Genomic DNA, 23,924 nt, shown 5'->3' on the forward strand with positions numbered 1-23,924 from the left:
TTACAGGTGGGAGCCATTAACTCACTTTTTAAAACTTAAATTTAAGCAAATAATTACTGTCTGTGAAATATGCGTTTCATGTACTAATTCTTTTATATTCGCCACTTAAAGGATCATGTAAATATTGGGGGTTTTGTTTACCTAAAACCATCTTGTATCTTTTTAGAGGGCATCAAGTTCATTTTGGGAAACATTCCCCTATGTACTGGAATTTTAAAGCTTTGATTTTGAACCAGAGTATGAATGGTGGAAGCTGCTTTAACTTGGAAATACCAGGGAAAAGGAGGGGTCATGGGATGGGTGGGTGCTGTCTGCTGAAATACCCCTTGCTTGGGCAAATTTATGTGTCCTGAATATGAGGATATTTGGCTATGTGCATGGCAAAGCTTGGGATCGTACCCTTGCAAGAACAGTTGGTTTGTTTTTTAACCTGGCCAAACATGCATACACACACACACGCACGTGCACATTTCATAAGTTTTATTTTCTTTTACAGGTTTGATCTTGCTCTTCTACCTAGTTTTTTATGGGTTCCTGGCTGCACTCTTCTCATTCACGATGTGGGTTATGCTTCAGACTCTCAACGATGAGGTTCCAAAATACCGTGACCAGATTCCTAGCCCAGGTAATTATCTTGCAGTTATGACTTTGTTTTTTGTTTTTTGTTTTTTTTTTGAGACAGAGTTTCACTCTTGTTGCCCAGGCTGGAATGCAGTGGCATGATCTTGGGTCACTGCAACCTCTGCCTCCCAGGTTCAAGCGATTCTCCTGCCTCCTCAGCCTGCTAAGTAGCTGGGATTACAGGCATGCGCCACCACGCCCGGCTAATTTTGTATTTTTAGTAGAGACAGGGTTTTTCCATGTTGGTCAGGCTGGTCTCGAACTCCCGACCTCAGGTGATCTGCCCCGCCTTGGCCTCCCAAAGTGCTGGGATTACAGGCGTGAGCCACTGTGCCTGGCAGTGGTTACGGCTTTTAACAAAATTGAGTTATAGTTTATCTTCACCATAAATCTGTTTTATATAGCAGATAGAAGATAGCTAAACCTTGGAGCTGAGTAATGTGAAGGTTTTAATTTTTGTTGTTGTTGTTTAATATTTACATACTGATTTAAAGACCTTCACATTTATATACTGATAAATCTTGAGAGTTTGAGTGGGTTTGTTTTGTTTGTTTCGGTTTCTTTTTTTTTTTGTCAGAAGTAAGCAAATGAATATTGAGAATTCTAGTAAAAGCCACGTTTGAAGAATATAGTTATAGTTATGAGTGACTTATGAGTATCGTAGAGCAGTTTTACTTTGCCTTGAGTAATTAAGGTATATATTTTGGCACTAGCTTCAGTTAGAGCTTTGGACTTATAAAATACATACTTTGTCGTTCTAAATGGTTAGTTATGAAATTGGTAAGTTGTTAAATAATGATACCTCATAGAGAACAAAATGAATATACTCTTCATATGTTTAATTCTTCTTGATTTTCTTCTGGAAAAAAAATTCATTATACAGGAGAATGTATGCAGTAAAAAACTGAAACATCTAAACCACATTTTCTACCTCCTGATTTTATTCTTTTTAAACAGTCTTTTTTTTTTTTTTTTTTTTTTTGAGACAGGGCTTTGCTCCTGTTGCCTAGGCTGGAGTGCAATGGTGTGATCTCGGCTCACTGCAACCTCTGCCTCCCGGGTTCAAGCGATTCTCCTGCCTCAGCCTCCCAAGGAGCTGGGATTACAAGCATGTGTCACCACGCCCAGCTAATTTTTTGTATTTTTAGTAGAGACGGGGTTTCACCACGTTGGCCAGGCTGGTCTCGAACTCCTGACCTCAGGCGATCCACCCGCCTCGGCCTCCCAAAGTGCTGGGATTACAGGGGTGAGCCACCACACCTGGCCTAAACAGTCTTTGAATGCCAGCTCTCCCTTGGTGACTGGACATGACCCTTGTCCTCAGATGCTGATAATTAGAAAAGTAAGAAACAGTAATGTGCAGAACTTCAGTGTGTATAATTCCAAAGACTGTAAACTAACTGCTATAGATGACAGAGAAGGGAAGGTTCTACCTAAAGAAGAAAGTTCAGTCCTAGAGGAGTGGGATTTAGAGGGCAGGAGAGTGGGGAATCGGGCCAGGAAGGTGGGAGTCTAGCAGGTTTCTCTCTAGAGCAGTGGTTTTCAACCACTGAGTCATATGGCAGCGTCTGGAAATATTTTTGGTTGTTACAGCTAGAGAGGTGGTACTGTGAATAGAGGCCAGGGATGTTGCTAAACATCCTACAGTGCATAGGGCAACCCCCACAACAAAGAATTATTCAGCCCAAAATGCCAATAATGCTGAGATGGAAGTGCCCTTATCTAGATCCTTGCTCACTGTATAGACTTCTGAGCTATATCACCAGCCAAACTGAACTAATTGTCTCAACCATTTTTTTTCCTAGAACAATTTTTTTCTAATGATTTCTTTTGTTTACAGCTAATCTTAGTCTAAATGTCTTGAATAACTCTTTTAAAACTCTTAGTGTATTGGAGCAAGTGTCAGAGATTAGTTCCATGCTACTTTTCCTTCATCTCTCATTGTAGCACTGTTTTTTTCTACCTCAGACTAATTCTAAGATTATTCTTTACTTGCTATTTAAGTGATGTGACTTACCATTGAACATAGTCTGATCTATTCAAAAACACTGAACTCTGTTTATAATTGCATGAAATATATAAGCATATGTGTTAAATATTTTTAAGTACACAGTTTTTAAACTGAGTTTCTTAAAATTATTTGTCGATTATTTTAGTACTTAAAGTATCATTAGTTTAAATAAATATACATGCATACACATGTACATATAATACATATATATTACATATGGGACATATTAAACATTTCCTTATTTAATATATCACATGTACATGTAATACATATATAATATGTATTTATGTGTTGTATATTATATACATATAATATGTATTATATGTACATGTGTGATATATTAAATATGGGAATGTTTGAAGGCTAGAGAAAATTTTAGGATTGTTTTAAAGCCTATGTGCAAGGTTGAATTAATCTAGATCTAATGCTTTTTTTTTTTTTTGAGACGAAGTCTCGCTCTGTCGCCCAGGCTGGAGTGCAATGGCACGATCTCGGCTCACTGCAACCTCTGTCTCCCAGGTTCAAGCAGTTCTCCTGCCTCAGTCTCCCAAGTAACTGGGACTACAGGCATGCACCACCACACCCACCTAATTTTTGTATTTTTAGAAGAAATGGGGTTTCACTATATTGGCCAGGCTGGTCTCGACCTCCTGACCTCAAGTGATCCGCCAGCCTCGGCCTCCCAAAGTGCCAGGATTACAGGTGTGAACCACTGCACGCAGCTGATCTAATGCTTTTTAAACAAGGAAAACTTACATTAAAGTTGGAAGCCTGATTGCTTGCCTTATCTTCATTAGTAAGCTTAAGCAACATGGTCTGTATTACATGGGTGTCAACTTCTGATAGGAAATTGTTGGTGGTTATACTCCAAATTCAGTATGTGAAAACCACATTTTAATTACAGAGCAATATCTGCTATTGAAGGAAGAATATTTGCCATAAAGTTTAAAATGCATAGACCTTTTTCATTGAAAAGGAGTTAGCTGTCTTATGAATGTTTCCATACAATTTAAATGACAAAAGTACGTAGGCTTTGATTTGCTCAAATTTTTTTCCTTGTATTAATGGCACATTGACAAAACCTAAAAATGTTATTTGATTTTTTAAAAATGCATATAGAAAGTTCAAAGTAAAATTGCATCTTTTAAAAAGGAAGATTATAATTAACTGTAGATAACCAAATTTAGGGACAGTTTCTAATCGGTAATGTCTGAGATGGTTTTGAAGGTTTGAGTTATTTTTAATTTTAGATGTCTATGCCTTCATAATTAGAATTGGGAAGTTCTTGATAGTTTCAGCATACTGTCAACACAATTTTCCATGTAATTTGCTGAGATCTGCTTTTTAGAGATAAGAGGAAGGAAAAGAAGAGAAGGAAATTTGATAATCTCTCCCTTTTATGTCTTTATAGGACTCATGGTTTTTCCAAAACCAGTGACCGCATTGGAATATACATTCAGTAGGTCTGATCCAACTTCGTATGCAGGGTACATTGAAGACCTTAAGAAGTTTCTAAAACGTGAGTATGTTTTCTTAGAGTAAGGTCAGAGATTTTAGTTATAGAAATTAGTACCAAATTGTGGGCCGGGCACGGTAGCTCACGCCTGTAATCCCAGCACTTTGGGAGGCCGAAGCGGGCAGATCACCTGAGGTTAGGAGCCAGGTCTTGGACCTGGCCAACATGGTGAAACCCCTGGCCAACATGGTGAAACCCCATCTCTACCAAAAATATAAAATTAGCTGGGCGTGGTAGCACGCGCCTGTAATTCCAGCTACTCGGGAGGCTGAGGCAGAATAATCGCTTGAGCCTGGGAGGCAAAGGTTGCAGTGAGCCAAGTTTGCGCCATTGCACTCCAGCCTTGGCAACAAGAGCGAAACTCCGTCTCAAAAAAAAAAAAAGAGTCCCAAGTTGTGATTACATTTAGACACATCATTCTTAGAATGTGTATTACCTTCTATTTCCTTCTGTTAAGCAGACAACTGAGCAAGTGCATTTTATAATTACTTGTGAGACTGTTCTAACTATAGAAAGACACAGGGGCTTACTCATGGGTAGTAGATTTGATTTTTCTGTCTTATAATAAGGACACTAAATTTCTTGAAATGTAACATTTATTCTGCATTAAAACTAAATATTTTAATTAATAGAGCAAATCTATATTTTATGAAATAGTGTCTCTGAGGACTTGGATTTTTTTTTGCCATTTTATTTTATTTCTTTTTTTTTGTAGCTGATATACATTTATGTTGAATTTGAAATAGGTCAGTATAGTTATTGAGAAGGAAGAATCTTTTTTTTTGTGCCAGGCATTCTTTTTTTTTTTTTTTTTTTTTATTATACTTTAAGTTCTAGGGTACGTGTGCACAACGTGCAGGTTTCCAATGTAGTGCTTGCTTGGGGGATGGGAAATTATGTTTATTATTTTAAAGTTATGTCTGTGTCTGATTTTTAATACATCCGTTTTTCAAAGTTACCAGTTTGTAACGCTCTTTGATAGCCATCCTAGCCCAGTTTTTCCTCCTGTTTTGCTTGGCCGAGCCATTTATGTGAATGGTGTTAACAGTCACATGAGTAATCATCGAATGTCCTGGCCTGCTGGTTCATGATCAGCTCATCTCTTCCTCAGCCACAGACACCTGCAACTGCTCCCTAGAACATTACTTTATCTCATCTCCCACCCCGTCTTCCCTTTTATGTAGCTTAATTCCATGGTTGTTATTTCATTTTTACTTTTACTGGTGCTCTAAAATCCCAGACCTCTCAGTCTTCATGTCACACCCTGTGGGAGTACCCCACTCCTGGATAAAGCCATATAATTACTGGATGTAGCTCATCCTTCTGTGCCCCTGCCCCTGAGCAGATACTGAGCAGGACTAATTAGCACTGTGAGTACTTGAGCACCTCCCTCAAATGGACTTGCTTAACTGCCTGGTAATCCTATGGAATTTCTCTGGATAATTCTCTGAAAGGATTATTTCCAACTTTCACTCAAGCCTCTAACCCCTTACCTTTTTCCTTACAACTCACTCTCTTCATATAACCTGATTTCTTGCTTCAAGAGATAATAGAAGAACTCAGATGGGAGCTCCTCCAGTTTCCCCATTACCAGTAAAACAAATCTACAATGGCAGCCATTTTGTCTGTCACATTCTTCCTGCTCTGACTGGGGGCTGCCCTTCCTTTCACCTGAGGCCACCTGTGTCACTCCTGCTTTGGATCTCATCCTCTCTCAGTGTCTCAGAAACATACTGTGTACTCTCTCTTCTTGTGTGTATTTAGCCTTTCTGTCTGTATTGGATCCTTCCTGTCAACTTGAAAAAATCTTCAACTCTCTCCTATCTTAAACCAAAAGCTGCTTCTGATCCCACATTATCTACTAGCTGTCTTCCTAAGTCTCTTTTCCTTGACAGTTAAATATGTACTCATTATTTAAAAAAGACTTTTGTGAAAGTATTATCCGTGGTTTAATAGCTTTAAAAGGTCTGCAATGAAGTGTTCCCTGCCCTCCTCCCTTCCAGCAGAAGTCCTATTAATTTATTGACATATTTTTTGAGGGCCTGCTTTGTGGCAGGCACTCATTTGGGTTCCAGCAATGAACAGAAGAAAAATTCCTGTCTTTCTGGAGCTTAGACTCATGGTGAATTAGAAGATAGTACATCCTGAGGGGGAAAATAAAACAGAAAAAGGAGATAGGGTAAGTTGGGAAGGATTGTGGTTTTTACATGCAGAGTGGTCTGGGAAAGCCTTATGGAAAGGGAACCTTGAGGGAAGAGCTGAAGGAGGTGAAAGAACTAGCCCTGGAAATGTCCAGCACAGGAAGCAGTAGGTGCAAAGGCCCTGAGGCTTATGGTGCTGATGTGTTGAAGATTCATCAAGGAAGTGAGAGGGGCTGAATGGAGTGAGCCAGGGGAGAGCAGTAGGAGACTGAGGTTAGGGAGTTAAAGGAGATCCAGACTGTAGGTCCTTAGAACCCATTGTTAAGTTCTTTGGCTTTTACAGTGACCATGATGAGGGATTTTAAGCAGTGAACAATAACATGATCTAATTCAAATTTTTAAAGGATCCTGCAGGCTTCTCTTTGAAACTAGACTAGAAGGGGGGAATTGGGGAAGCCAGTTAGGCTATTACAATAATCTAGGTAAGTGGAGATGGTGGCTTGGCAAGGGAGAGAGCAATGAAGGTTGTGAAAAATAGTCTGATTCTGGACACATTTCTTTTTTCTTTCTTTCCTTTGTCTATTTGTCTGAGATGGGGTCTCTCTCTGTCACCCAGTGGCACAATCACAGCTCACTGCAGCCTCAGTCTCCTGGGCTCAAGTGATCCTCCTGCCTCAGCCTCTTGAGTAGTTAGGAATACAGGCTCACATCATCACGCCTGGCTAATTTTTTAATTTTTTGTAGAGCTGGGGTCTTGCTATGTTGCCCAGGCTGGTCTTGAACTCTTGGCCTCAAGTGATCCACCTGCCTCCGCCTCCCAAAGTGCTGGGATTACAGGCGTGAGTTACAGTAGCACCTGGCCTTTGGATGTGTTTTTGATAGGGAATTAACTTCATGCTTCTGAACTTTTTCTTACGGTGTTTTTCTTCCATATCTATAAATATTACACTTTTCCTGCTGGTTCTTGACTTTTTACTTTTCTACATTATCACTTTTCTTTATTAATTATTATTTATCACTTTTATACATTTTCTTAGTTCACATGTCTCAGACCTTCCCTCCTTTCTCAACTCAATAATAATTGATTTACTATTTTTAGTTTCATTATTGGTTGCCTTTTTATACTTGGTCTTTATATCTTCTTTTATCATCTATAGATACTCTCTTCTGACTTCCTTATTTGTAAACTATCATTTGAGGTATTTTCTTGAGTCTCTTTTCTGGAAAACTCCTTCCTGGAGCCCTTTCCCTCCTGCTGCACTCTACTGTTTCTACATCAGCCTTTTACTCCCAACTGTCCTTTGGGGAACTTCCTTTTACCACTTTCTTTAGTTGGACCCACTGTTTCTTGGCTCTTGCCCTGCCCCCCCCTTTTTTTTAATTATTTTTATTTTTTCTCTTAATTTACTCCTTAGTTTTGATGGAGTACATTCTCAAGTAATTTTATAAGAAAAGACACCTGAAATGTAAATTTGAACCCTTTTATTTCTGAAAATGGCTTATTTCTGCCTTTATATTTGCTAGTTTATCTCCATATAGAACTCAGTTCTTTGTAATTTGCCTTTTCTCTTCTCTGAAAGTTTTTCATTTTTTTTTTCAATTTTCTTTATCTCTTTTGGATTCTAAAATTTCTATCTGGATTTCTGTCTCTAAAGTATTTTGCTGAGACTTGACTGCAGGTTTTTCAGGATGAAGACTTAAGTTCTTCAGTTCAGGGGAATTATCCTCTGTTACCACTTTGATAATTTCCTCAACTCAATTTTCTGGTTTTTTCTTTCTAGAACTATTCTGTTTGTTGGGTCTTAGACCTCTTGTTTTTCTCTTACTTTGTTTTTACTTAATTAGACTTTCTGGGGGTTTACTTTAATTTTCAACTCCTTTTTGGTTTTTAAAACGTTCGACTGCTGTCAATCCTTATGCCCTCCTTTTTCATGTTTGAAAGATACTATAATATATCTGGTTAAAAAATAATGTCTTCTCTATTTTTTTTCCTGCAGATACTAATTGGACTTAAAAAGTTTTATTTTGTTCCAATTATCTCTTTCCTTTAGGGTCATTCATTCCTCCAGTTATCTTGGTCTTTTTTTTTTTTTTTCTTCATTGAGACAGTCTTACTCTGTTGCCCAGGCTGGAGTACAATGGCTTGTTCTCAGCTCACTGCAACCACCGCCTCCTGGGTTCAAGCGACCCTCATGCCTCAGCCTTCCAAGCAGCTAGGATTACAGGCTTGCGCCACCACACCTGGCTAATTTTTGTATTTTTAGTAGAGACAGGGTTTCACCATGTTGGCCAGGCTGGCCTCAAACTCCTAGCCTCAAGTAATCTGCCCATCTCAGCCTCCCAAAGTGCTGGGATTTCAGGCATGAGCCACTGCGCTCGGCCTTTGGTCTTTCTTATTTTAGGCGTTCTTCAGATGCATAGGGCTCCTTGGTTACTCTGGGGTCAGTGACCTTTCTATGTTCCCATCATGCCTTCTGCATAATCTTACTGGTCATCACACAGTTCCTTACACTTAATAGTATGGAAGTGGAAGTCAGCATAATAAAAAAGCAAGGTCACTGATGAACTGACCTATACCAACAGAGTCTATGCAGTAGAAGCCCTTGGGGAAATTGGTGAAGGGCTTATTTTTTTGCAAAGTGTTGGATGTCATGATGCTGTTTTGTTATAAAGTTTATCTCTACCCCCACAAAATACCTGAATCATTCTTTGCTTTTAAATGAGTACATAGTCCCACAGTAACCTAGTTTCTGGTAAGTATAAGATGAAACCAAACATTTTGACAGTGATTTTTTTCCCCCAAGGTAAAGACTTTACACTTCCTTTTTGAGGCATACTCTTTGAAATTTGGTTCTTATTTATTTATTTATTTATTTATTTGAGATGGAGCCTCACTGTGTCGCCCAGGCTGGAGTGCAGTGGCAACCTCCGCCCTCTGAGTTCAAGCGATTCTCCTGCCTCAGTAGAATCCGAGTAGCTGGGATTACAGGCACCTGCCACCGCACCCAGCTAATTTTTTTGTGTATTTTTAGTAGAGTCGTGGTTTCACCATCTTGGCCAGGCTGGTCTTGAACTCTTCATCTCGTGATCCACCCGCCTCGGCCTCCCAAAGTGCTGGGATTACAGGCATGAGCCACTGCGCCTGGCCTGGTTCTTACTTTCATTGAATTCAATACCTTTTTCTGGTACCAATTGCACCCACACACCAATAGTTCTTCCTGAGGCACTGTTATATCATATGTTAATTATTTATTAGTAAGCATTGTCCACTAGATTAAGTTAATTGAGGGCAGGGGTCACATCAGGCTTGCTCACTTTGTGCCTCTTGGGCTAAACACTGTGCCAAGTACGGAGCAGAATTGTATTGTCTGTTGCATATTTCTCCTCCCTCTTCCCTCCCATTACCAAGTTCTAACCATTTTACTCCTTTATCACTGTAAACTCCATCTCTGCTAAAAACCCCCTTCTATGAGCTAGTCTCTCACCTGGGCGGCTTTAATAGTCTCCTAACTTGTTTTCCGGATCCTTTCTTTTTCCCTTCTGGACTGACTCCACAGAAAAGTCAGAGTTAATTTCCTAAGTATGTTCATACTATCCACTTGCCCTGGTTTAAAACATTTTAGTGGATTGTTAATTGATGTTTGGCAAAACACCCACCCACACCCCTCAAAATTCTTTAACATAGTTTACAAGACTCTATATGGTCTGGCTTCTACCTTCCTTCATTGGAAGTGCTTCTCCTAGCTTCATTAACTCCCACATACCCTTCTGCATTCAGCTCAGTTGCTTTTTTTTTTTTTAGTGTAGGTTGTCATAACACTACATCTTCATACCTCTGCAATTCTGATTTTATACTCACTTAATGACTCTCTTCCCCACAAAACCGTAAGCTCCATGAGGGCAGCAGCAGTGCCTTTTTACATCCTCTCCATTGTATCACCAAGCATGCAGAAGGCATTCAGATAATGCTTTAGCCATGGCTGGTACTGCCACCTAATGGTGACAGAAGAGATGGATCTATAATCCAGTTTGTATGATTATTGAAATGCAGTAACTTTAGAGAACTAGTTAGCTGTTAAAAGGTAAAGGGGCAAACTTAACATTCTTTCCCTAAAGTTATCTGGTAATTTACATTGCTGTTTTTGTCTTTGAAGAACATTTTCCAAAGGTTAATATATTCCTGGTTGTTTTTAGTACCTTTTTTGGCTGATCTAGCACACATATATGTTTCCTTTTTAGCATATACTTTAGAAGAACAGAAGAACCTCACAGTCTGTCCTGATGGAGCACTTTTTGAACAGAAGGGTCCAGTTTATGTTGCATGTCAGTTTCCTATTTCATTACTTCAAGCATGCAGTGGTATGAATGATCCTGATTTTGGCTATTCTCAAGGAAACCCTTGTATTCTTGTGAAAATGAACAGAGTACGTACATATTTTACCTCTGCTGCTGCTTTTTTCTAATATTCTCTTTTAAGGAGGCAACTATTTTTAGATTGTTGTGGTTGGGTTAATGCCTTCCTTATTAAAAGTTATCATTTGGGGGGTAGCTTGCTTTAAAGACTAGCAGTAATGTTTATTGATCACTGGAAGAAAGTTTATATGGCAAAAAAAAGAGGTTCATAGATTAATCATGGAGTAAGGAGTTAAAGTAACTTTTAAACTTTTCTTCTTTGGAAATAGCTACATGCATTCCAGCACACATTAATGCTCCAAGGGGCAAATGTTCTCCTTGTCATAACCAAAGCAGAGACTTGTTAGGGTGCAGTGCTCATCTGTGAATCCTGTGTTGTAAAATAATTTAAAATTCCACAGACTCCATAAAGTTTAAACTTATTAACTTTTTCGAAATAGTAGCAAAGCATAGTTTTATAGTATCAGTATATATATATGTAATTAGATAACAGAAATACAAATAAAATCCCATTCTAACGAGTTCAGTGGGATGTTGCAGTTGTATCCAAAGTAGCAGCATTTTGCTGTTTTACAGAAGGGTGCCTAAATTGTATAGTAATGAGCAAAGGAAGAAGCTAATGTTCTCTGTGTGACAGGAGTAATGAATTAGGGTCATTGTGCAAAGGAAGATGATACGGCTTTTCTTGAGTCATGAAGTGATCCCTAGCCCCCGTGCCTTGCTGCTCTGTAAATGTACTTCAGAGTTGTGTTCTGATGCGCTTACTGTTTTGAGGCCTGCAAGGTCTCCCTTGAAGAGTGAAGTCATTCATGGTCATTTAAAACAGGTGTAGACTTCTCAAAATCATGAGTTTATGAATCACTAAAGTCATCATTGGTGAGCAAATTGCCACCATCCCTAATAAAAGTAAAATTTGGATCTTTTGAAGTTGGCACTGCTAAATAAGAAGCTTCCCTGTAGGGAGAACCAGCTAGGCCCTGAGGTGCCCAGACTGACACCCCTCCAACCTCTGCTTCATCCCTTTGGGAGGCCTTGGACAACTGACAGCTTCCAGATTGTCCCATAGCATTCTAGGTGCTCAGTAAATGATTAGTGGAATGTTTCAACCAGACCTTATTCAGAATTAAGAATTGAAGTTAACAAAGTAAGCTGAAAGTAATGTGAAACTAGATGATCTAGTTTATAAAATGAATTAAGTTTGTTTTAACAGAGATGCCTTTTGTAATCCCAGTCTACTAGAAGTATCCTCACGACATCTAGATTGCTGAACATTTGTTCCCAGTAGAAAGCCAGGAGAGGATCAACCTTCTGGGTTTGTTTTCTTTCTCAAGATGGTCTCCTTGAATGATAATGGCCTGAGACCATGCTTGCTGATGACTCAGGGCATGGCTTTGTCAGGAGGACAGCATCAGACACACAGGAATCATTGATGAGATGAGCTTACGTAGTGTAGCAGGAGGTTTCATACCAGTATAGTTCCCAGTTAGGACGCAACAATACTTGTCTTTTGAGAGGAATATTTAGATTTTACGTGCATTCACGTGGAAACTGTGTATAAATTCAGAATGCCAAAAAATTATCTCACAAAATGTATAAATATGTGAGTTTATTCAGTTCTGTCAGCTACATACACGAAAGGAGTCTTAAAATAGGGCTCTCCCAGTGTGTGCCTTTTGGGGAGCAGATGGGTTGTGAGATACAGTGAGGCTCAGTGGGGCCCTCATGGAAACACGGAGAGTGTGACCTGATATAGTTTTGTGAAGAACAGTTAATTATTATGCTTCTGCAGTTCTTATTATATACATTAAATTATTTGTTCATATAAATATTAATAATTAGATTTAAGGGTTTCTGTCTGTTTCATATTTTAAGGGTAGCAAAGGGTACTTTTGTTTCATTTAATTCTTTGGTAATTTATTTATTTTCTAAATTGCCCCAGTACAGTAATAAGATATCTGATTGCTGAAGTTATTTTATTTAAAAGTTCATTTTAATACCCTCAAATAAGATTAAAGTAAAAGGCAGATGTATACAGACTTGGTGTTAATCTCAAAGTCTTCACCCCTTGTTCCCAGCAACAGAGGGAGGAAGTTCCATTGCATACTTACGTGAAGTTTAAATTTATCACTATTTCTTAACCTTAGATAATTGGATTAAAGCCTGAAGGAGTGCCAAGGATAGATTGTGTTTCAAAGGTTAGTATTCAAAAAGTAACTCCTGTTAAATCTTTGATGTTTCTTAAAATACTTTAAAAGTCTAATGATTTAGTCATCTTTTTTTTCTTCCCTGTCACATTTTAAAGTCCTTTGTAGTGCCTTAGAATAAAATTCCACCAACCGTAGTCTTTCTCTTCCTTAATGATAATTCAGAAAGACATTTTCCATGTGTATTTGATTTTGCACACATTGCCTTTATTTTCACATATACCGTATTTCATCAATTCTAAGATTCACTTTTTTTCTGCCAGCTCAGTAACACTGAAATTGGGATTACCCTTGTAATTGATGGTGTCTTAATACTGTATCATGACATTTTTCTCTTTCTTAATAGTTAGTTGGCGTGCTAGTCATCAGTGCTATCTGAGATTTAATGAAATATGGTGCATTTTCCTTAAGGTAGAAGCATTATTTATCTCCCCTATCCCTACTTACTTTTTTTTCCAGAATACTGTGCAGTTTTCATCTCATAACTTTCTTTTGTTTTCTCTCCATGCTGCAAATGCCACTAAGACAAATAATGTAAAAGATGGGTAAGAGTTCTGAGGAGACATTAAGTTCTAAATTTATCATTGTGCTAAATATTAACATTTCAACTCTGATTGTATGGCAGAAATATTTTACTTAGAATGTTACATTGAAATCACTTTTAAAGTTGTGAAAAAAAATTCTTTTTACTGTTAATGGACTTCTTATTTGGGCAGAAACTTCTTGCTCAGTGGTCTTCAAACTTGATCACTCATCAGAGTCATGTTGCCTTGTTGGGTTCCGTTCCCATAGTTTCTGACTCAGTAGGTCTGAGATAGGGTCCAAAATTTGCATTTTTTTCTTTTTTTTTCTTTTAGACGGAGTCTCACTCTGTCGCCTGGGCTGGAGTGCAGTGGCACGATCTCACTGCAAGCTCCGCCTCCCGGGTTCACGCGGTTCTCCTGCCTCAGCCTCCTGAGTAGCTGGGACTACAGGCGCTCCCGGCTAATTTTTTTTTTTTTTTTTTGGAGAGACAGGGTTTCATCATGTTAGCCAGGATGGTCTTGATCTCCTGACCTCGTGATCTGCCCGCCTCGGCCTCTCAAAGTGCTGGGATTACAGGCATGAGTCACCGCGCCTGGCCCAAAATTTGCATTTCTCACTAAAGTTTCCAGGTGATGCTGATGCTGCTGGTCTGAGGCCCACATTTTGAGAACTCCCGATTTGGAGTGTCCTTATTAATTTTTTAAGAGCATTTATTCACTATTTAGAGTAGCATAAAAAGCCAGGAAGTTTATGGTTTCTCATCTGGGTTGAAATTATATGTGTGTGACCACTGGCAATTCACTTTACCTCCTTGTGCCACAGACAGCTCAATGGGAAACTTGTACAAAAAGCCAGAGTCAGCTGGGTGCAGTGGCTCGCGCCTGTAATCCTGGCACTTTGGGAGGCTGAGGCAGGCAGATCACGAGGTCAAGAGATCGAGACCATCCTGGCCAACATACTGAAACCTCGTCTCTACTAAAATACAGAAAATTAGCTGGGCATGGTGGCACGCACCTGTAGTCCCAGCTATTCAGGAGACGGAGGCAAAGGAACCGCTTGAACCTGGGAGGTGGAGGTTGCAGTGAGCTGAGATCACACTTCTGCACTCCAGCCTGTTGGCAGAGTGAGACTCCATCACACACACACAAAAAGCCAGAATCTCACTTAAAACCAGATACCACATCTAAGCTGAGCTTTTCTTTCTTTATTTTATTTTATTTTTTTTTTTTTGGAGACGGAGTCTCACTCTGTTGCCCAGGCTGGAGTGCAGTGGCATGATCTCGGCTCACTGCAAGCTCCGCCTCCTGGGTTCACACCATTCTCCTGCCTCAGCCTCCCAAGTAACTGGGACTACAGGCGACCGCCACCACGCCCGGCTAATTTTTTGTATTTTTTAGTAGAGACGGGGTTTCACTATGTTAGCCAGGATGGTCTTGATCTCCTGACCTCGTGATCCGCCCGCCTCAGCCTCCCAAAGTGCTGGGATTACAGGCGTGAGCCACCGCGCCCAGCTGAGCTTTTCTTGATAAATTCTTCTAAAAATCTAGTGGGCAGCATATACTGTCAGCTCTCAAGTCAGAACACTATAGCTACAAGATACATTTAGAAAAAATGTTGGGTAACCCTTTGTGATCCTCAGGGCTTGCTCACAAAGCTTTCTGGTAGAAAGTTCTTGGGGCTTGGGTGCTAGGCTTCAGCTGGGTAGAAGTGCTAATTTCATGACAGTGCGCCTGTATACAGGAGCCTGTGAGCAGGCTGCATAGATAAGCTTGGATGGAGTGCTGGGTCTACAAAGCCAATACCACCTGAAGGGAAAACACATTCAAGCCAGAAGCGCAAAAGCTTTAAATTGTGTAAACCTTTGGTCAGTATAAACAATTCCATATACCTCTCCCTTTTTTTTTTTTTGAGACGGAGTCTCTCTCTGTTGCCCAGGCTGGAGTGCAGTGGTGCGATCTCAGCTCACCTTTGCCTCCCGGGTTCAAGCGATTCTCCTGCCTCAGCCTCCCAAGTAGCTGGGACTACAGGCACGTGCTATCACGCCCGGTTAATTTTTTGTATTTTAGTAGAGATGGGGTTTTACCATGTTGGCCAGGATGGTCTCGATTCCCTGACCTCGTGATTCGTCTTCCTCAGCCTCCCAAAGTACTGGGGTAACAGGCGTGAGCCACTGCACTCGGCCCCCTTAAGGTTTTAAATGCATTTTTCTTCTTGTTTATCTATTACGTATCCTTTGCTTCTAGAATAGTTGGGGGAAATGTTAATGAAAAACCCAGATTTAATGATTCGGATTTCAGTTAGCTTTCCCTTTTGCTTTGGAGAGAGGTGTGTGAAGTACATAAAATAATCAAAGCAGGTGGAGTTTTAATTTTGTTTATTTAGTTGTGGATTTTTTGTTTGTTTTTAGAAAAGCACAAAAGTGGAAGAAATGTTTGTAAAATTTGGCATTTATTCCCTAGGCTAGTCACAAGTAGTAAACCAGTTAGAACCCATAAATTTTAGAAGTGTGGCTCTCCAGAACAGATGGAAGCATTTACTACATATCATAATTGCAATTTTCTATTAGATTTGTCTATGTCAAGCGTTCTTTAAATTCTTTAGTTCTTTTATGTAATACATATGTCTTTTATTTTGTCTTGTATTGATTTTGTTCTGCCTTGATTGTTTTTATACAAGTTAGAGTCCTGAAAATACAAACACTTAACATACCCTTGGAGGTGCTTTTTTTTTTTCTCTCTCTCTCCATAGAGACAGGGTGTCACCATGTTGCCAGGCTGGTCTTAAACTCCTGGCCTCAAGCAATCCACCCACCTCCGCCTTTGAAAATGCTGGAATTACAGGTGTGAACCACCGCAGATGGCCAAGGTGGCCTTTTATATTATCAACTTAAAAGATGATCCTGCAAAAGATGTAATTTTCATATTTATGTCATTTTTTTCTCAGTGTTTTATTTTCTTATGAAAATGAATCATACTAAGAAAATCAAAAAATGGGAAGAAACAAAATGCATTAATTTTTAAACTCCATTTTGTTTCAGTGGAACTTAGTGACCATCAGTAGGTTCTTAGAGTTAGTTGCTCATAGTTTACAATATGATGCTATTGCCGGACGCGGTGGCTTTCACCTGTAATTCCAGCACTTTGGGAGGCCAAGGTAGGCGGATCACCAGAGGTCAGGAATTCGAGACCAGCCTGGCTAACATGGTGAAACCCCATCTCTACTAAAAATAAAAAAATGAGCCTGACGTGGTGGCATGTGCCTGTAATCCCAGCTACTCGGGAGGCTTAGGCAAGAGAATCGCTTGTACCCAGGAGGCAGAGGTTGTAGTGAGCCATGATCGCGCCACTCCACTCCATCCTAGGCAACAGAGCAACTCTGTCTCAAAAAGAAAAAAAAATATGCTATTCGTATACTTAGAAAATTATGACATACATGCTTCACCCTGAGTACCTCATTATTATTCAGATACTCATTTTAATATTTTACAATTTCTAAATGTTTATTTTCACAGAAGGTATAAATTAAAAGATTAAGAAAAATCCTGCCAAGATCACGTCTTAGGCACACACAGAGAGCAGTTGAGCGTCTGCCACACCTGATGGTCTTGAGCCGTGATGGCCTTAACTCTGAGCCCCAGTGCCCTGCTCCGTAATTGATGCTGTCCACTAAGGCTTGTTAGGCCTAAAGGAGGGAAGTGTAAGCTAAGTGTGGTATCTGGTAGGAAACCCACTCTGGGTTGGGTGTGGTGGATCACTTGAGGTAAGGAGTTTGAGACCAGCCTGGCCAACATGACAAAACTCCGTCTCTACTAAAGATACAAAAATCAGCCCTGCATGGTGGCGCACACTTGTAATCCCAGCTATTCAGGAGGCTGAGACAGGAGAATCGCTTGAACCCGGGAGGAGGAGGCTGCAGTGAGCCAAGATCAGGCCATTGCACTCTGGCTTAGGCAACAGAGTGAGACTCTGTCTCAAAAAAAAGAAAAAAGAAAAAAGAAACATACTCCAAGATACTCAGTAAACTGTTTCTCAAAAAAAATCCTTTTTTTCATTTTGCGGAAATGTGTTCTGTGAAGGTCATATATTAAGGTAAAATAGGTTCAACAAAAGCAATTAATGCAGAAAAGCACTGATATCAGAGTGACTAGTTTTTCTCTAATATAAAATGTTATCTTTGATTTTAAGCTTATTTTTTAAGTTAAAGAGTACAAATGTAGGGTGGAGTTTGAGTAGTGATTGAAAATGGCTTTTGCGATTTCTCCTAGCGTTGTTACTTCCTACCCTTTCCACATATTCATCATCTGGATCATTAGAGCTTGTCTGGTGGGTGGGGCGCATCATCACTCTGTCCTTTGTGCTGTCTGGCCGGTGCCTTTCATCTGTCTCTCACCCCACCCCACAGCCATATGCTGCTTCATAATGAAATGAAATGAGCAGAATCTAGAACTCCTTAGAGTGGATTCTTAGTTTTGCTTTATGCTGTTTCATGCATGCTTTCAACCCTGTCTCAAAAAAATTTTTTTATATATATATAAAATTCAAGTATTTAATAATGTTTTATTTTAACTAGTGTTCCGTAAGCCCAGCACTGATTTTAATCATTGTGGTCTGTTTGCTACTTCTCAGTCTGTGTTAAAGTTACACTCATTAGAATTAGGCCCATTTAGAAAGTGTTACATGTGAATTTTCATAAATTGCTTATTTATCATGAATAATACTAGAAATAACTAATAGCATGAATTAATTGGATTACAGGTGATGCTTGATTTGTATGTTGATAAACATGGAATTCTAGTAGACAAGTAATACTTAATGATTTATATATGCTCATAAATTTATTCCTGATACAGTATTTAAATTTGTCGAGGAGAGTTTTGCTTGTAGTACCTTAAATTTTCCTTCATGCTTCCCCTCTGGTTGCAGTTCTGGTTATTAATCACATGAAACTCACACCTGCTGTCTCCCAGGCCTGAGTGCTGCATTCTAGGTTGGCACCTTGTGGTGGCTGTTGCTTTCCAGTCTGGAAGCACAGCATTTTATTCATTTCAGGAAAACATCGGTCCTAAACCTGCTGGTGCATTCCTGCTGTTAGTAGGTAGAAAGGCTGGCATTTGGTATTTGGAGGGCAGATAAGATTTTACAGGAGTACATGAGTTAAAGAAGGGACTCTCATGAAAGAGAGTATAGAGTGTATCTGGAAGTGTAAGTATCAGGATAGTTCATGTGGAAGGGGTTAGTTAGATAATATTTGCAATCAAGATGAGCAAGCTTCTTCTCAGAAATACACTTGTAATGATAATATAGTTGGAGCAGCATTGTAGTTTCTGCAAACTGTTCATGATTGATATTCCTTTAATTATAAACATAGTTTTTACAAATTCTTTTTGTGACCTAAAGAGGATTTCTTTTGTTTTCAACTTCAGAATGAAGATATACCAAATGTAGCAGTTTATCCTCATAATGGAATGATAGACTTAAAATATTTCCCATATTATGGGAAAAAACTGCATGTAAGTATTGAGAAGTTCTTATGTGGTGATTACTCTTTTGGGAAGCTGGAGCATGTGTTGACGTACCACTTGTCTGGGGTAGGTAGACGCCAGCCCTGTTTAATTTGTGCGTCATCTATTCAGGTTTTGTTTTATTTTAATGGTGATGGTAAATGGAGTTCCCACATTTACAATTCAGAACACAGAACCCAAGCAGATACGTTAAAGTTAGATGATTATTTCTAAAATATCATTTTCTTTTTCATTATAGAGGTAGTAGTAGGTGCTTATGTAGAGAAAGTAGAAAAGTACTTAAAAAGAAAATCAAGGCCGGGTGCGGTGGCTTACTCCTGTAATCACAGCACTTTGAGAGGCCAAGGCGGGCGCATTACCTGAGGTCAGGAGTTTGAGACCAGCCTGGCCAACTTGGCGAAACCCCCTCTCTACTAAAAATACAAAAATTAGCTGGGCGTGGTGACATGTGCCTGTAGTCCCAGCTACTCGGGAGGCTGAGGCAGGAGAATCGCTTGAACCCAGGAGGTGGAGGTTGCAGTGAGCCAAGATTGTACCACCACACTCCAGGTTGGGTGACAGAATGGGATTCTGTTTCCCCCACCAAAAAAATAAATGAAAAGAAAATCAAGGCCAGGCGCAGTGGCTCACCTGTAATCCCAGCACTTTGGGAGGCCGAGTCGGGCAGATCACGAGGTCAGGAGATCAAGACCATCCTGGCTAACACGGTGAAACCCCGTCTCTACTAAAAATTACAAAAAATTAGCTGGGCGTGGTGGCAGGCACCTGTAGTCCCAGCTGCTCGAGAGGGTGAGGCAGGAGACTGGCATGAACCTGGGAGTCGGAGGTTACAGTGAGCCGAGATTGTGCCACTGCACTCCAGCCTGGGCAACAGAGCGAGACTCTGTCTCAAAAAAGAAAAAAAATCAAAAGCTCATTGCGGCCGGGTGTGGTGGCTCACGCCTGCAATCGCAGCATTTTGGGAGGCCGAGGCGGGCAGATCACCTGAGGTCAGGAGTTCTAGACCAGCCTGACTAGCATAGTGAAACCCCGTCTCTGCTGAAAATACAAAAATTAGCCGGGCATAGTGGTGGGTGCATGTAATCCCAGCTACTCGGGAGACTGAGGCAGGAGAATCGCTTCAACCTGGGAGGCAGAGATTGCAGTGAGCCAAGACTGCACCATTGCACTCCAGCCTGGGCAACAAAGCAAGACTCTATCTCAAAAAAAAAAAAAATAGGTTAGTGGACTAATGAGTTATCATAGGAGTGGGACTAGCGGCTTTATAAGAAGAGGAAGAGAGACCTGAGCTAGCAGGTTAGCATGCTCAGCCCCCTGGCCACGTGATGCCTTGCACCACCTCAGGACTCTGTTGAAAGTACCCAGCAGCAAAGAAGGTTCTCACCAGATGCAGCTCCTTGATCTTGGCCTTCTCAGCCTCCATTAACTGTAAGAAATAAATTCCTTTCTTTATAAATTACCCAGTTTCAAGTATTGTGTTATAAGCAACAGAAAACAAAGACAGTAGTACAGTTAACAAAGGAAGTTAACATATAGTGCTCTTATGAATCTGTAGACTTTGTTGAAAATCCATCAATTGTTCCAGTAATACTCTTTATAGTGAAAGACAAGTGTTTTCCTGATCCCAGATGTCACACTGTTAACACGTTTAGCAACCTATAATCAGGAATATTTCCTCAGTCTGTTTCATGGCTTTGTACTCTTCAAAAATAAGTACGGGCCTTTTATGGCTTATTTTATGTTCATTAGTTGGAGTTTGGTGGTTTTTCATGATTAAATATAGGTTGTGCATTTTGGCATGAGTGCCTCAAAAGAAATGTTGAGTTCTCAGAGTGTCAGGAGGGACATGGTATCATTTCATTCCGTTAATGGTGATACTGCCTTGATTCCTTGGTTAAGGTGGTATGAGCGAGGTTTCTACAATATACTTTTTTTCCTCTGTCATCAATAAGTATCATGTGGGGAGAAAATTAAAAAGCTCGTTACTGCCTGGCACGGTGGCTCACGCCTGTAATCCCAGCACTTTGGGAGGCTGAGACAGGCGGATCACCTGAGGTGGAGAGTTCGAGACCAGCCTGACCAACATGGTGAAACGCTGTCTCTACTAAAAATACAAAAATTAGCTGACCGTGGTGGCACACTCCTGTAATCCCAGCTACCCAGGAGGCTGAGGCAGGAGAATCACTTGAACCAGGAAGGCAGAGGTTGCAGTGAGCCGAGATTGCACCATTGCACTCCAGCCTGGCAACAGAATGCAATGTCTCAAAAAAAAAAAAAAAAAGGCCAGGTGCAGTGGCTCACGCCTGTAATCCCAGCACTTTGGGAGGCCGAGGTAGGTGGATCATCTGGGGTCAGGAGTTCGAGACCAGCCTGGCCAACTTCAGTAGCAATGGCAAAGCCCTGTCTCTACTAAAAATAAAAAAATTAGCTGGGTATGGTGGTGGGCACCCGTGACTCCAGCTACATGGGAGGCTGAGGCAGGGGAATCGCTTGAACCTGGGAGGTGGAGGTTGCAATGAGCTGAGATGGTGCCACTGCATTCCAACCTGGGCAACATACTCCATTTCAAAAAAGAATATTAAAAAATAATGATAAGGGTCGGGTGTGGCGGCTCATGCCTATATATTCCCAAGCACTTTGGGAGGCCAAGGTGGACAGATCACGAGGTCAGGAGATCGAGACTATCCTGGCCAACATGGTGAAACCCCGTCTATTAAAAATACAAAAGTTAGCTGGGCGTGGTAGCGGGTGCCTGTAATCCCACCTACTTGGGAGGTTGAGGCAGGAGAATCACTTGAACCCGGGAGTCAGAGGTTGCAGTGAGCCGGGATCGTGCCACTGCACTCCAGCCTGGGCAACAGAGCAAGACTCTGCCTCACAAAAAAATTAATAATAATAATGATAATAGGCCGGGTGTGGTGGCTCACACCTGTAATCCTAGCATTCTGGGAGGACAAGGCAAGAGGATCACTTGAGCTCAGGGGCATGAGCTGTCACACCCAGTCAACATTTTTATCAGTAATTACAGGTATGGACTTACAGCTCCAAAAAATTAAAAAGAATGCAGAGAACAGAAAATAATAGAGCTAAATTTTTTTTTTAATTTACAAGCCACGTATGGTGGCTCACACCTGTAATCCCAGCACTTTGGGAGGGTGAGGTGGAAGGGCCATTTGAAGCGAGGAGTTTGAGATTAGCCTGGGCAGGGAGACCCTGTCTCTACAAAAAAATTTAAAAATTAGTGGGCTGTGGCGGCATGTGCCTATAGTCCCAGCTACTTAGGAAACTGAGGTGGGAGGATTGGTTGAGGCTTCAATGAGCCATAATTGCACCACTGCACTGCAGCCTGGGCAACAGTCTCAAAAAGAAAATTTACAGAATAAGCCAATTCCTGGTAGAGAGAAGTATTAAGTTTCCATAGAGTTTGAATTAATATATTTTCCTTTTATTGCCAGGTTGGGTATCTACAGCCATTGGTTGCTGTTCAGGTCAGCTTTGCTCCTAACAACACTGGGAAAGAAGTAACAGTTGAGTGCAAGATTGATGGATCAGCCAACCTAAAAAGTCAGGATGATCGTGACAAGTTTTTGGGACGAGTTATGTTCAAAATCACAGCACGTGCATAGTATGAGTAGGATATCTCCACAGAGTAAATGTTGTGTTGTCTGTCTTCATTTTGTAACAGCTGGACCTTCCATTCTAGAATTATGAGACCACCTTGGAGAAAGGTGTGTGGTACATGACATTGGGTTACATCATAACGTGCTTCCAGATCATAGTGTTCAGTGTCCTCTGAAGTAACTGCCTGTTGCCTCTGCTGCCCTTTGAACCAGTGTACAGTCGCCAGATAGGGACCGGTGAACACCTGATTCCAAACATGTAGGATGGGGGTCTTGTCCTCTTTTTATGTGGTTTAATTGCCAAGTGTCTAAAGCTTAATATGCCGTGCTATGTAAATATTTTATGGATATAACAACTGTCATATTTTGATGTCAACAGAGTTTTAGGGATAAAATGGTACCCGGCCAACATCAAGTGACTTTATAGCTGCAAGAAATGTGGTATGTGGAGAAGTTCTGTATGTGAGGAAGGAAAAAAAGAAAATAAAAGTGTGTTTGAAAAATATTATCTTGGGTTCTTTGTAAAATTTATTTTTTACATGCTGAATTAGCCTCGATCTTTTTGATTAAGAGCACAAACTTTTTTTTGTAAAACATGTAAAAAAAAAAACTGGGATTAATTTTTAGTGTTGGAACTGCCTCTTATTTTAGGCTGTAGATAAAATAGCATTTTTAGGTTAGCCAGTGTGACTATGCACCTAATTTTTTATGAGATTAAATTCATAAGACTTAATTTGTACAATAGTTTGTGAAATATCTTGTTACTGCTTTTATTTAGCAGACTGTGGACTGTAATAAAGTATATAAATTGTGAAATATAAAAACTTGGAACTTATTCAAAGCTTCAAAGCAAACAACAGTTTTGTGTAAGCATTCTTTCCCCTCCAGTATTAGGTGTATTCTTGGTAGGATTATTTGTGATAATTTGGGCTACTTGGCTGAGAAAGTTGTGCTTCCCATATGATCTGTGTTGCTTCTTGTTTTTTCTTAAGGCTGTTGTTTATTGTTACTTTTCTCCTTTTTTAAAAAAAAAAAAAGGCAGCCGGGCGCAGTGGCTCACGCCTGTAGTCCCAGCACTTTGGGAGGCCGAGGCGGGCGGATCACAAGGTCAAGAGATCGAGACCATCCTGGCCAACATGGTGGAATCCCGTCTCTACTAAAAATATAAAAATTAGCTGGGCGTAGTGGTGCGTGCCTGTAGTCCCAGTTACTCGGGAGGCTGAGGCAGAAGAATCGCTTGAACCCAAGAGGCGGAGGTTGCAGTGAGTCGAGATCACACCACTGCACTCCAGCCTGGTGACAGAGCGAGACTCTGTCTGCAAAAAAAAAAAAAAACGGCAAAGCAGATATTC

General features: G+C 40.4%; 1 protein-coding gene across 1 annotated transcript in view, besides 2 other annotated features; it reads left to right on the forward strand.

Annotated features, from left to right (window-relative positions):
• The window catches only part of ATP1B3 (ATPase Na+/K+ transporting subunit beta 3), a 49,907-nt gene extending 26,481 nt beyond the window's left edge, over window positions 1-23,426 (forward strand). The window contains exons 2-7 of the mRNA NM_001679.4: window positions 497-625; window positions 4,044-4,151; window positions 10,529-10,713; window positions 12,847-12,897; window positions 18,854-18,940; window positions 22,408-23,426. Of these exons, the coding sequence (NP_001670.1) occupies window positions 497-625; window positions 4,044-4,151; window positions 10,529-10,713; window positions 12,847-12,897; window positions 18,854-18,940; window positions 22,408-22,578 (731 nt within the window). The 3' untranslated portion in view covers window positions 22,579-23,426. The remainder of the gene's footprint in view (window positions 1-496; window positions 626-4,043; window positions 4,152-10,528; window positions 10,714-12,846; window positions 12,898-18,853; window positions 18,941-22,407) is intronic.
• Window positions 1,301-1,801: an enhancer, noted in NCBI's record as "H3K4me1 hESC enhancer chr3:141623266-141623766 (GRCh37/hg19 assembly coordinates)". NCBI's record gives its function as "activates a minimal SCP1, AML or CMV promoter by ChIP-STARR-seq in primed H9 embryonic stem cells {active_cell/tissue: H9 hESC(primed)}" and the evidence as "EXISTENCE:reporter gene assay evidence [ECO:0000049][PMID:30033119]".
• Window positions 1,802-2,302: an enhancer, noted in NCBI's record as "H3K4me1 hESC enhancer chr3:141623767-141624267 (GRCh37/hg19 assembly coordinates)". NCBI's record gives its function as "activates a minimal SCP1, AML or CMV promoter by ChIP-STARR-seq in primed H9 embryonic stem cells {active_cell/tissue: H9 hESC(primed)}" and the evidence as "EXISTENCE:reporter gene assay evidence [ECO:0000049][PMID:30033119]".
• Window positions 23,427-23,924: the final 498 nt, after the last annotated feature.

Source organism: Homo sapiens, chromosome 3 (genome assembly GCF_000001405.40).
Source record: "Homo sapiens chromosome 3, GRCh38.p14 Primary Assembly".
NCBI lineage: Eukaryota > Metazoa > Chordata > Mammalia > Primates > Hominidae > Homo > Homo sapiens.